This window comes from Homo sapiens, chromosome 2, assembly GCF_000001405.40.
Source record: "Homo sapiens chromosome 2, GRCh38.p14 Primary Assembly".
In the NCBI taxonomy this organism is placed as follows: Eukaryota; Metazoa; Chordata; class Mammalia; order Primates; family Hominidae; genus Homo; species Homo sapiens.
This window is the reverse complement of record NC_000002.12, coordinates 152984752-152997597: the sequence shown is the minus strand read 5'-3', so window position 1 is coordinate 152997597 and position 12846 is coordinate 152984752. Positions and strand designations below refer to the sequence as shown.

Here is a 12846-nt window from a genome sequence, read left to right as displayed (position 1 = left end):
TGAAATTCTGGGTTGAAAATTCTTTTCTTTAAGAATGTTGAATATTGGCCCCCACTCTCTTCTGGCTTGTAGAGTTTCTGCTGAGAGATCAGCTGTTAATCTGATGGGCTTCCCTTTGTGGGTAACCCGACCTTTCTCTCCGGGTCCCCTTAACATTTTTTCCTTCATTTCAACTTTGGTGAATCTGACAATTATGTGTCTTGGAGTTGCTCTTCTCGAGGAGTGTCTTTGTGGCATTCTCTGTATTTCCTGAATCTGACTGTTGGCCTGCCTTGCTAGATTGGGGAAGTTCTCCTAAATAATATCCTGCAGAGTGTTTTCCAACTTGGTTCCATTCTCCCCATCACTTTCAGGTACACCAATCAGATGTAGATTTGGTCTTTTCACATAGTCCCATATTTCTTGGAGGCTTTGTTCATTTCTTTTTATTCTTTTTTCTCTAAACTTCCCTTCTCGCTTCATTTCATTCATTTCATCTTCCATCATTGATACCCTTTCTTCCAGTTGATCGCATTGGCTCCTGAGGCTTCTGCATTCTTCACGTAGTTCTCGCGCCTTGGCTTTCAGCTCCATCAGCTCCTTTAAGCACTTCTCTGTATTGGTTATTCTAGTTATACATTCGTCTAAATTTTTTTCAAAGTTTTCAACTTCTTTGCCTTTGGTTTGAATTTCCTCCTGTAGCTTGGAGTAGTTTGATCTTCTGAAGCCTTCTTCTCTCAACTCGTCAAAGTCATTCTCCGTCCAGCTTTGTTCAGTTGCTGGTGAGGAGCTGCATTCCTTTGGAGGAGGAGAGCCACTCTGCTTTTTAGAGTTTCCAGTTTTTCTGCTCCGTTTTTTTCCCCATCTTTGTGGTTTTATCAAAGACTTTTGGTCTTTGATGATGGTGATGTACAGACAGGTTTTTGGTGTGGATGTCCTTTCTGTTTGTTAGTTTTCCTTCTAACAGACAGGACCCTCAGCTGCAGGTCTGTTGGAGTTTGCTAGAGGTCCATTCCAGACCCTGTTTGCCTGGGTACCAGCAGCGGTGGCTGCAGAACAGCGGATTTTCATGAACCGCGAATGCTGCTGTCTGAGCGTTCCTCTGGAAGTTTTGTCTCCGAGGAGTACCCGGCCGTGTGAGGTGTCAGTCTGCCCCTACTGGGGGGTGCCTCCCAGTTAGGCTGCTAGGGGGTCAGGGGTCAGGGACCCACTTGAGGAGGCAGTCTGCCCATTCTCAGATATCCAGCTGCGTGCCGGGAGAACCACTGCTCTCCTCAAAGCTGTCAGACAGGGACATTTAAGTCTGCAGAGGTTACTGCTGTCTTTTTGTTTATCTGTGCCCTGCCCCCAGAGGTGGAGCCTACAGAGGCAGGCAGGCCTCCTTGAGCTGTGGTGGGCCCCACCCAGTTCGAGCTTCCCAGCTGCTTTGTTTACCTAAGCAAGCCTGGGCAATGGCAGGCGCCCCTCCCCCAGCCTCGCTTTACTTGTATTCTGTTGAAGATTTTCACATCTATATTCATTAGAGATATTGGCCTGTAGTTTTCTTTTGTTGTGAGCTCATCTGGTTTTGGTATCAGAGTAATACTGTCCTCATAGAAGAAGTTTGGAAGTATTTTCTTGAGTTGAATAGACATGGTTATTGTTTTCATCTGCTTGGTCTGTCATAACAAAGTTTCATAGACTGGGTGGTTTAAACAATAGATATTATTTTCTCAAAGTTCTGAAAACTCGAAATCCAAGAGGAGGGTGCCAGAGCAGTGGATTTCTACTTGAGCAGAATTGGTATTAGTTCTTTAAATGTTTTGTAGAATTCACCAGTAAAGCCATTAGGTCCAGAGCTTTTCTTTGATGGGAGACTTTTCATTACAGTTTCAATCTCATTACTCATTATTGGTCTGTTTAGTTATTCTGTTTCTTCATGGTTTACTCTTGGTAGATTGTTTGGATCCAGGAATTTATACATTTCCTCTAGGTTTTCTAATTTATTGTGTATGGTTATTCACAATAGTCTCTGGTGATTCTTTGTATTTCTGAGCTCTCAGATGTTATGTCTCCTTTTTCATTTCTCCTTTTATTTGGGTATTCACTTTTTTTCTTAGTCTAGCTAACAGCTTGCTGATTTTATCATTGTCATAAAACTAACTTTTCATTTTGTTGATCTTCTGTATTTTTTTAGTCTTGATTTTACTTCTTTCTGCTCTGATCTTTATTGTTTCTTTCCTCTACTAATTCAGGGCTTGGTTTATTAAATTTTCAAGTTAGTTCTATTTGATTTATAGTGACCCAGATAAACTACTGCAATGGACTGAATTTTGTACCCCAAAATTGTTATGTTGAAGCCCTAACTCTCAATGTAACTGTATTTGGAGATCCTATAAGGAGGTAACTAAGGTACAATAAAGTCATATGGGTGGAACCCTAATATGATAGAATTATCATATCATATTATATTGCCTGTCCTTATAAGAAAAAATACCAATGAGCTTGCTATGTCCCTCCACCTCCTTCTCTTTCACACCACACTCCATGCACATGCTCACCAAGAAGAGGTCACATGAACAGTGAGATGACAGAAATCTACAACACAGAAATAGAAGCCTCACCAGAAATCCACTGTGCTGATGCCCTGCTCTTGGATGTCAAGGTTCCAAAATTGTGAGAAAATAAATGTCTGTTGTTTAAGCCACCCAGTCTATGAAATTTTGTTATGACAGACCAAGTAGATGAAAACAACAACCATGTCAACATTAGAGTCTTTAAACCAGCATACTTGAGAACAAAAGTGGGTAGCAAATTATAAGAACAATCTCTATTAATCTTAAATGGCTGACCTCATAAATATGTAGCTTGGTTGACTGCAGAACCCAGCATGATTTGCACCAAAAAGTCCTGAAGAGTTGCTCTGAAGATGTTCTTAATAATGCCAAAAATTACTTGATAAACTTTAATAGTAATTTATGATTTTAAAACATACTAGCAAGTATTAGGAATAGAATAAAGCTCCCTAAACATGATAAATAATTACACACACTGGAGAAAAATTTAGACATATACCTTTCAAATTCCAGGAAAAGGCAGGAGTACCTGTTATCATTGCTTCTGTTCAACAAAGTACAGGATGCCATAAAGGAATGTTCTCCTCCTCAGCTTGTGTCAAACTTTGCCATTTGGACACGAGCCCAATCTGCTTGTTTCCCAAACTTTCAAAGTCTTTTTTTTTTTTTTTTTTTTTTTTTGAGACAGAATCTCACTCTGTCACCCAGGCTGGAGTGCAGTGGCACAATCTCAGCTCGCTGCAACCTCCGCCTCCCAGGTTCAAGCAATTTTTTTGCCTCAGCCTCCCAAGTAGCTGGGACTACAGGTGCCCACCACCACGTTTGGCTAATTTTTGTATTTTTAGTACAGATGGGGTTTCATCTTATTGGCCAGGCTGGCCTCAAACTCCTAACCTTGTGATCCAACCGCCTCAGCCTCCCAAAGTGCTGGGATTACAGGCATGAGCCACCGCATGTGGCCCAAAGTCTTTCTTAAGTCATTATCATCAGCAGAGAATCTCACAATGTCCCCATAGAAACAATTCTATAAATTCCAGTTTTCATTTCTCTATGCATGAGTTCAAGTTAGATTTTTCCAGAAGAGAGACAGATACCATACTATTGTCATCTAGTGATTCTCAATGCCTCTTTTTATATATGAAATAAAAGTATAGATAAGATAACCTACATATATGTGCAATTTAAAATTATAAAACTGTAAATTCAAATTGCTATTATATAAAGGCTTAATTATATTTTAAAAATGAAGCAACTTATAATAAAATGTGTCTTAATATAAAAATTTTTGGACAAAACTACATTATCAGATATAATGAAGTACAGTCCACACACCACACACACACACACACACACACACACACACACACACACACACACACACACATGCCCCTCCCACAGATACCAAAATCTAAGGATGCTCAAGTTCCCTATATAAAATGGCAAAATAGTATTTGCATATAACTATGCACATCCTCCCATATACCTTAAATAATCTCTATATTATTTATAATACATAACACAATGTGAATGCTACATAAATAGTTGTTATACAGCATTGTTTTTTATTCGTGTTACTTTTTATCGCTGTATTGTTATTTTTTGTTTCCAAATATTTTCCATTGAATCCATGGATGCACAACCCATGAATAGGGAGGGCCAACAATAAGCTGATATTTGCCTCTATGTATAGAATTGCAGAGAATCACACTGCCTCAAAGAAAGTCTGATATTGGTATCTGGCATTAGCATTTCTTTCAATCATGTGATTTACCAAAATAATAAACAATTCTTGGTAAGGTGATGCTTCAAAGTGTAAACGTGCCTTGATTTATTCAGCAGGTTTATCTCTCCAAAATTCAATAGATATAATACCATGAAAAAAAAACATACTGACATGTAAAAAATATTTTGCATTTAGACTCAGTTATTTATATACAGGTTTTTCTATATACCTCAATGTCTGGTCAGAAGATCAAAATTCATAGGAGTCTCAGGACAAGTCTTCATTATGTAGAAATATTTCATGCATTGTAGATAATATAGCACCCTCAATAGCTGCCAGTTGTATTCCCCCCAACACAAACAATCACTGTGAGAAACTAGAAATGCCTCACAATTTTTTTAATGCCGTCATGAATTACTAAACACTCCCTTAAGAGTGGTAGCGTATCTTTTCATAAACCACTGATCAACACCACCATTTCTCCTCTGGACTCTTTCCATGAAACCCAACCCAAACCTCTCTGCTCTCCTATTTACGAAGCAAAAACTCCCATACAGCAATGGCATTAAGTAGATGTTTTTTAGAAAAGGGAGAGAACGTAACATTTGTGTTTATATTACTGAGTCTGATTTAGCCAAACAAATGTGCTTTGTTATAATGATATAAATGTAGAACACTATTCAGTGATCAAAAGAGAAAATTGAGATTTTTTTTAAATCTCATTTCAGAGTCTTTGTCATCTTGGATCTTTCACACTAAGCAAAGTGCACATAGTAACTGTGTTATGTTATGATGTTACTGTCTTTTGTCAACATATACTTTCACGTGTTTTTGCCTGTCCTGTTTTTCTAAGCATATAAAGGTTCTATAATATAGCTTCCTTTATTAAGTTGTGAGCATTCCACTTTTTAAATTCATATTTCTCCTTTAGCTGAAGTTCATATAAAAAGACTCCTCTTGTGTTGCACAAAAGTAATCATCTTTATCAACTCTTCCAATGAGTTAACATTCCATGATATGTTTAATTTCCTTTACTATTTTAATCATTAAATTGTACTTTATGTTCATATCTTGTGAGTGTCAATAGATCACTGGTTTAATGAAGTGTAATAAATGAGTTCTTAATTGATTATTGTTCTCATTAATCACTGTAGTTCCACAAAGAAGATCAGTGAAGTACACAGATATAATGTGGTTCCCTAGAGCACAGTGTGGATGCCAAGCACAGAAAATATAATTTTTTAAACTCAGGAAAAATAAGCCCTATAGCATCACATATTAGAATCATGTTGACATTTGGAATTTTTTTAACCCAGTCTGCACCACAAGGTGTAATTTGGTTTTTAAAAATGCCTATAATAAAAAATAGTTCTTCAAGGTGTAATTTCATGATCAAAATAGATTATTGCCCCCACACAGCAGTGTTTCAAGACATTCCACGTGTTTTAACTGACAGCCATTGATGTTTCAAACTGTGACCATGCACTGCACTGCTATTTCTGCAAGAGATAGTGATGGTTACTTGCATTGGTATAACGCAAGTCTAAACTACCCCCAAAATACAAAGGAATCGCTTTTGGAAACAGTCATCTACATGTTCTACTGTCACTACTAAATAACCAGTGACAAAGAAATTTTCATCTACCTTTCTAAAATGTATTTTATTTCAAATGTCCTTGTAGAAGAGCAAAATGCAAGTTTGTTTATTCCAAGCAGTTGACAAAAACACTAGAAATATTAAGAAAATTGTACTTGCTTCTTCTGAATAGTAAATCAATTGCTTCATCTTATCTTTTTCTACAATTATAATATTCACAATGCTATTTTGGTAACTATTTTAAAAGGATCATTATTAATCTTTTATATCCCTGAGAAAACCAAAGGTTAGAAAGTTATTATTTAACTATAATCAAAAGGCTAGAACACGGTAAAAAACAGGATGTAATTTCTGATGTTTGGACTCCTAGTTAAACGCTCTTCACATTACACCTTCACAGATTCTTTACTGTGAGTACAAAGGATAATGTGATCTCCCTCTTGCAACTGTAATTCTCTTTTTGTCTCAAAACCTGAAACCCTGGAAGGGTAGTGTATGTGGACAGAGTCCATGGCTGAGGATACAGGGAATCATTACAGCTCCTTTTTTGACCCCTATCTTGAGGACCTTTAGAAAATTCTTTATAAAAATACTTTGTTGTTATTTCACATAAATTCTTTAATGGCATAGCATGAAAGTCCATAGAGCATACAATATACGACAGATGGACAAAGCACTCATACTTTGTTGGTGGCCAGGTCCCAACTTGTTCCTTGTGAGTGCTTTGTGGTCCTGGGACTAGGCACATCAGTTCCACAAAACCTGTCAATGGGATTTGTCCACTGATGAATCAGCCTTCACTTACATAGACCTACTGCCCCAGCACTAACGAATAAAGTTATGTAGGGCTTAGATCTTAGATATGTCCAGTAGTAGCCTTGTTGATATGACACTACCAATAAAGTAATGGCAGAATGGATGGCCAGATGTCTCTCCTCTCTCTGCTCCTCATTCCCCACCTCTCTGACTCCATCTTAGCTACAGAAGTACAGAATAAAGGCCAAGATAAAGTGAATATCCCTTAAAGTGTCATTATACATGAGCAATGAAACCTGGCTTAAAAATAAATCATAAAAGAAAAATGAATTCAATAAATTACTCATTAGTCTTTTGGTTTATTGATCTTTAATGAATTGATCCAGAAGCCCTTGCTCCCAAAACCACAGTAATACATCCTGCCTCAGATGTATGCAGGTCACATAGGCGTGGTCAATTACTATTCTACACCCTAGCTATGCTCAAGGTATGTGACCCAAGTCACTGTGCTCTGGGAAAATTGCTAAAGCTGTGAGTAAAGATGCTCCCGCTTCCTTTGGTATCTCAAGCAATAAGGACCATGTATGCATCAAGTCATCAGTGGCCATCTTGTCACCTGATGGAGGGAGATACTGAGAATGTAGCCAACACAGAGGAAAATAGAACCAAGGTACGGACAGAAACAAAACCCTAGTTATATAGTTGAAAACACGTAGCAAGCTATTCCTGAAGACTGATGTCCCTAGACATTTCAGCATTGTGAGACAATACATTCTCTTTTTGGTATCAAGCCCTTCTAAGTTTCTACCACTCGCAACCAAGGGCAGACCAAAATATTACGGCACAGCACCAACAATATTTTTAAATACTATGGAAATGTAAAAAACTTTTATTGTTGCCAAATAAATGCAAAAACTTCCTCCAAAATATTACATTTTATCTGATTCAAGTCCAGTGACTCCTTCAATCTTGGATATATCTTTAAGTCAATTCTCACTGTCCTATAATTGATAAGTCAGTATGACCATTATGCAAGATTAAAAGAAAAGTTAAAGGAAAACCACACAGATTTATTCAAACTTAACTACAAAGCCCATGGAAGAAATAAAAAGGTGTTATGAAAGTAGTGTATTTGTGACACTAAGAAACACTATTCTGACTGCCAAATGGAAAAACATTAAATCCATTATGAAAATTATTCCATTTATTGTGCCTAATAAGTACTGCTGTATATGTCCATGAATAGAGTTTGATTTCAGAGACTTTGTGTTAATCAGCATACAAATTTAATGATGACTACTCTTTAAAAACAAAAAATACGTTTACCTCAAAGGATAGGTAATATTATTTAATAGCTCTTTCTCCGGAAATGATCGTATTCATACTCCCCCCCTAAACTGTTCTTTCACATATAACTCATCAATCAGGAACCATGCCATCATCCCAAATCGTATTAAAAGATTATTTTCACAGGAAAACTCAATATCATGAATTTCATTCCTTTGAATAATCTTTTTACATTCTAACTCTACTTTAAAAACTTTGATCCATAAGAAAGTTATTTTCAGGTTATGCTCATTTCATTTAAGATGAATGACAGTATTTATTTCAGTTTCTCATTGTGTATTCAAGTCTCTATTAAACAGGGGAAATAAAGATTCTCTTTTTGCTTAGATCAATTTCTTTGGTCCTAGCATTAAGAGGCTTATTTACATGAGAGAAAGCAATGTCTGAACATTACAAATATTGAATCTGATTTTCCTTCCTTCTCCACCATTAGAGATAGTAGGCTGGCAAAGATACCAGGGAGATGCTGCTGGCTGTGGGTCCCCATGGAGAGAAGGAGTGCAGTTACAGAAGGGTGTCTTCGCAGAGTTGCCACTGGTGAACACAGCACACACGCAGAGGGTGGTACATGGAGTACTTTGGCCAAAACTTCTCTAATCTGGGATGAGGCTATGGAATACTGTCTCCCCACTAAACCCACTGGAATCCCAAATCTGAAAATTCAGCTAGGAAAGCAGCTCCTCAAAACCTGCTACCTAATCCCTTAGAATGCCTACAAGGAAACTCAGCCTAAATGTTGGCCACAGGAGAGAAAACAGGTGGGAAGTCAGGATGAAAATTTGTATCAAAGAACCAAAATGTTTTTCTCAAAACCCTGGAACATCAATTAATTGCCACTCCAAGGGCAGGACTCAGAATTCAAGAGTGAACTTGTAGCACATTTTAAAAATTGCAACTGTGACTGAGTTTTAGTAATGTTTTCCTCCTGGAATGTACTTAGCTATGTATATTTGAATCCTACCTATCTGTCCTGCTGGCCCAGTTCCAATTCCACCTCCTCCGGTGAGATTCCTCTAACATCTCCAGCTTGAAGTTAGTTATTCTCTGCTGAAATAGGATAGTTCTTAACCTGTTTCCTCTCGCATGAATCCTCTTTTACTCCAACTTATATTACTGCTTTATAGCAATGTTCATGTCTTATCTTCCCTTTTAAATTATGAACCCAAAAAGATTCTCTGCCTAATTTTTTTATCTTAGCAAGGTACCTTGTACAATATAAAGCATTCAATAAATAATTGTTACATGAATGGTATAGAGGAATGGATGGAGAAAATGTTAAAGACCAAGAGCCAGCCAACTTTTTCTTAAAGAGCCAGAGAATAAATATTTTAGACTTTGTGAGTCAAGAGACAAAATTGAGAATATTATATAGGCATTTATGTAGCCTCTTAATATGTAACTATTTTTAAAAGTAAAAGCCATTACTAACTTTCAGGTCGTTTGCACAAAAACGGGCAGCAGGTGAGATTTGACCAACAGGCTGTAACTTGCCAAGCCCAGGGTTACGCCATTTTTTTAATTCATTCATTAGGAAGGCTTGTTTTCAACAGATTATTTTTAATTACTTGATTTACTCTTGAAATAATGTGTGGCATTTAATTGGGGCACATAATAATTGTTTTTGGCTACCAAGAGCCAAACCTGATTGTTCTACTTATTTCTGAGGCCCACTTAAAACACCTTGAGCTCAATGCTTCTCTCCATATGTTCCTTATTTTACTGTATATTACAATGCTTTGTAAGGTTGAAGGTATCAGATACCTAAGGATAAAAATTGTATGATCTCTGAGAATCCCAAATAGTGGAGAGAAAGTCATGTTCAGTGATAGAGCAGTGGTAAAGGGAAGGTAGACTCAGGAAGCAGCATGTAATCAAGTTTTCACCTCCATGTGTAGAGTGGTATAGTTTGCAATAAGGCTAACCAGTAGGGAGAGCCAGGCTATGCACTAGAGTGCATTACCTGACTGTCAGAGAAATGTATCACTAAAAATGTAACTTAAAAAGGACAACTGTAGACTTTCACTTCTGGCCATGATGGCGTTAACTGGTGGCAGACTTTCCTCTAGCAGCAACTAGAAAACTTGGCAGAATATATGAAGTAATAATTTTTAGGCATTGGATGGTAGACAAAGGAAGACTATGATTCCTGGGGGAATCCAGGCAAACATGGTAGGCCCTACAATCACCTCAGTTTCAGCGGATACGCTTTAAGGACTATAGTGGAGCGAGCAGGAACCCAAGCAAATGGTGAAAATATTTGAATTAAGGAAACAAAGATCAGAACTCAGGGATGCTATGAGAGATGAAATGTGTGAGGCAGAAACCAGAGAGGAGAAATAAAAAGAACTCCAAAAATCTACAAGGGAGTACTCTTGAATGTCCTCCTCAATACTAAAGCGCACATTCATAAGGTAAAAACTCCATGAGGCTCAGCAAATAACAATTATAAGGCCTTATAAGCTTAATAATTCCCAGCGCTTACATAGGGCTGGGAGGTAGTGCCAGAAGAAGCAGCAAGCCTTGAAGAGCTTCCTGGCATGGCAGCTGGCACAGCACCAGGAGATGGCTACATGGGGTATGCAGAAGACACTCTGAGATGGCCTTGTTGAGCTTTCCCCAGAGCTCCCAGAGCCAAGAAGGCAGCCAGATGATTTTCTGTGTCCAAAGGTGGTGGAGGGATTTCATACATAAATACAAGAGCAGGCGGTGAAGAAGTTTTAGGACCAAAGGACAGATGAGAATAAGCATACCTAAGAAGATGCCCAAGGGCCAGATGATGATGCTGTGAACCAGGTCCACCACACCCCTCCACACATATCCTGGTATCTACGCTCTAAAACAGAAATCTGGGAAAGGTGAGAAACTGATTTGAGAAAATAATTAATTGACCAAGATTTTAAGTTGTAATCATGGGAATTAGATACAGGGGGAAAAAGGCATTTCTTGCCAATCTGTGTTTCACTACATTATCATTATCATTATCATTATTATTATTACTAGTACTGAGATAATGGTATTGCCTAAACAAAACTGCTGTTGCCCTGCTTAGTATTTGGCTCTTCCTGATCTCAATTTTTATATTTGACTCCATCTATTCTCACTGGTGTGTTTCAGCTTTGTAAATCCCATTTCCAGCCCCCACATCTGGCTTTCCCTCCATACAACTGCCTATGTTTGAAACCTTCCTTCTCTATCAAAATATGCCTCTCCTCTGCTCTCTAGAGATTGTGCTCTCCGCTGTGCAATTTTTTAATTCTTCCAAAAGAATCTATTCAAAGGGATACATGCCTGCCAATACATTAATGTCATCTCTCTCATAGGTAAGGTATTAGCACAAACACTTCCTAAAGAATATGAATGACAGTCAACTGTTGCAAAAATTTAGAAAAAGATATAGTTTATCATCCAATCCAGGACACTTTTTAGAGGATGCTATGGTTTGAATGTGTCCCCTCCAAAATTCATGTTGCCAATGTGATAGTATTAAAAGGTGGGCCTTTAATGGCTGATTAGGTCATGCTGGCTTCTCCTTTGTTCATGGGATTAAAATCCTTATAAGTGGGGCTTCACACCACTTTAGGCTAGCTGGCTAGCTTGCTCTTCAGCTCTTTCATCATGTGAGGATGCAGGAAAGCAGCCCTCACCAGACAACTGAAACTGCCAGCACCTTGCCTTGGACTTTCCAGCCTCCCGAGCTGTGAAAACACAATTTCTGTTTTTTATCAATTACCTAGTCTCAGATATTTTGTAATAGCAGCACAAATGGACTAAAACAGAGGGAAAGTGGTGTTAATAATTTCTCTGGGACAAAAACTCATAAACTGGGTCTGATCCAGATGAACCTGGGTGTATGATCACACATAAAATACTCCACTACTACAATAAAAAATACCAATTTTCCAAAATATATTAAGTACATTTTTATTGTATAATATGCCTAGTTAATGGAAAGTAATCCAAGAGGGAAAGAGGCAGATGAAGGGACTGAGAGGAGAACCGTAAGACAGAGCTGTGCAAAAACATGAACAGTTCCAAAAGGGAGATTGCCAGGTCAAGAAGAGAATTGAAAAAGGCCATCTCCTGCTTATGTAGCCCTCATCATTTCCCCTCTTCCATTTTCAGAAAATTACCTCCGAAATGACCTCTGCTACAAAATGATCTTTTCTGTAGATGTATGCTTTACTGATTTCCACCTCAGATCCAGTTTCTTACAGATCCACATAGCCTCAGCTCCTTGGAATTCATTCATGACCCAATTGTTTACCTTCACTTACCTATATATTTTTAAATGTCATATTATAGATATTTTGAACATACTCACCCAAATTATCCCTCCAATTTGATTATTTTTTTTAAAAAAAGTCCACATCACATTATGTTATTTTTTTCTGTAATTCCTTTAGTTTGAAAGCCTAAGGTCTCTTTTTTATAACAACAATAACATTATACCTTATAAAAATGGCAACCTTTAAGACTGCCTTAATGTTATCAAATATCCAAACTAGTCAAATATCCCCCATAAAATGTTTTGGGCTTTCTCTTGTTATTGTTGGTGTCTGTGTGTTTGTTATTAATTATTGCTTTGTTCAAATAAGTTCCATATAATGCATTCCATTGACGTGCTTAATTTTATTTTAAAATTTATAATTTATTGGTTGAGGACATGAAATCACTTGACCTGTAGATTTTCCCAATTTTTATATTTTGCTCATTGTACCTTCATATTATAATCTAACCTATTTCTCTGTCCTGTATAGTTCACATAAACTGACAGTTAGAATTAGAGGATTGATCAGATTGAGATTGAATTTTTTCAGAAATAGAGTTTTTTATAGGGTATCTTAGGTATTGCCCTAGCATCGTATCAGGAAACAAAAAATGGCTGATTG

The 12846-nt window shown here is 37.5% G+C and overlaps 1 long non-coding RNA gene across 4 annotated transcripts in view, besides 1 other annotated feature; it reads right to left on the bottom strand.

The window, feature by feature from the left end:
- The window catches only part of LOC105373691 (uncharacterized), a 79687-nt gene that overhangs the window by 41046 nt on the left and 25795 nt on the right, over positions 1-12846 (bottom strand). For 2 of the 4 annotated variants that reach the window (XR_007087267.1, XR_923481.1), the window contains exon 1: positions 3034-3161. The exons of the other annotated variants lie outside the window; for them this stretch is intronic. This is a non-coding gene — a long non-coding RNA (uncharacterized LOC105373691). Of the gene's footprint in view, positions 1-3033; positions 3162-12846 lie in introns of those variants that run through there. 4 annotated transcript variants of the gene reach the window in all.
- Positions 11274-11775: an enhancer, noted in NCBI's record as "NANOG hESC enhancer chr2:153842337-153842838 (GRCh37/hg19 assembly coordinates)". NCBI's record gives its function as "activates a minimal SCP1, AML or CMV promoter by ChIP-STARR-seq in naive H9 embryonic stem cells {active_cell/tissue: H9 hESC(naive)}" and the evidence as "EXISTENCE:reporter gene assay evidence [ECO:0000049][PMID:30033119]".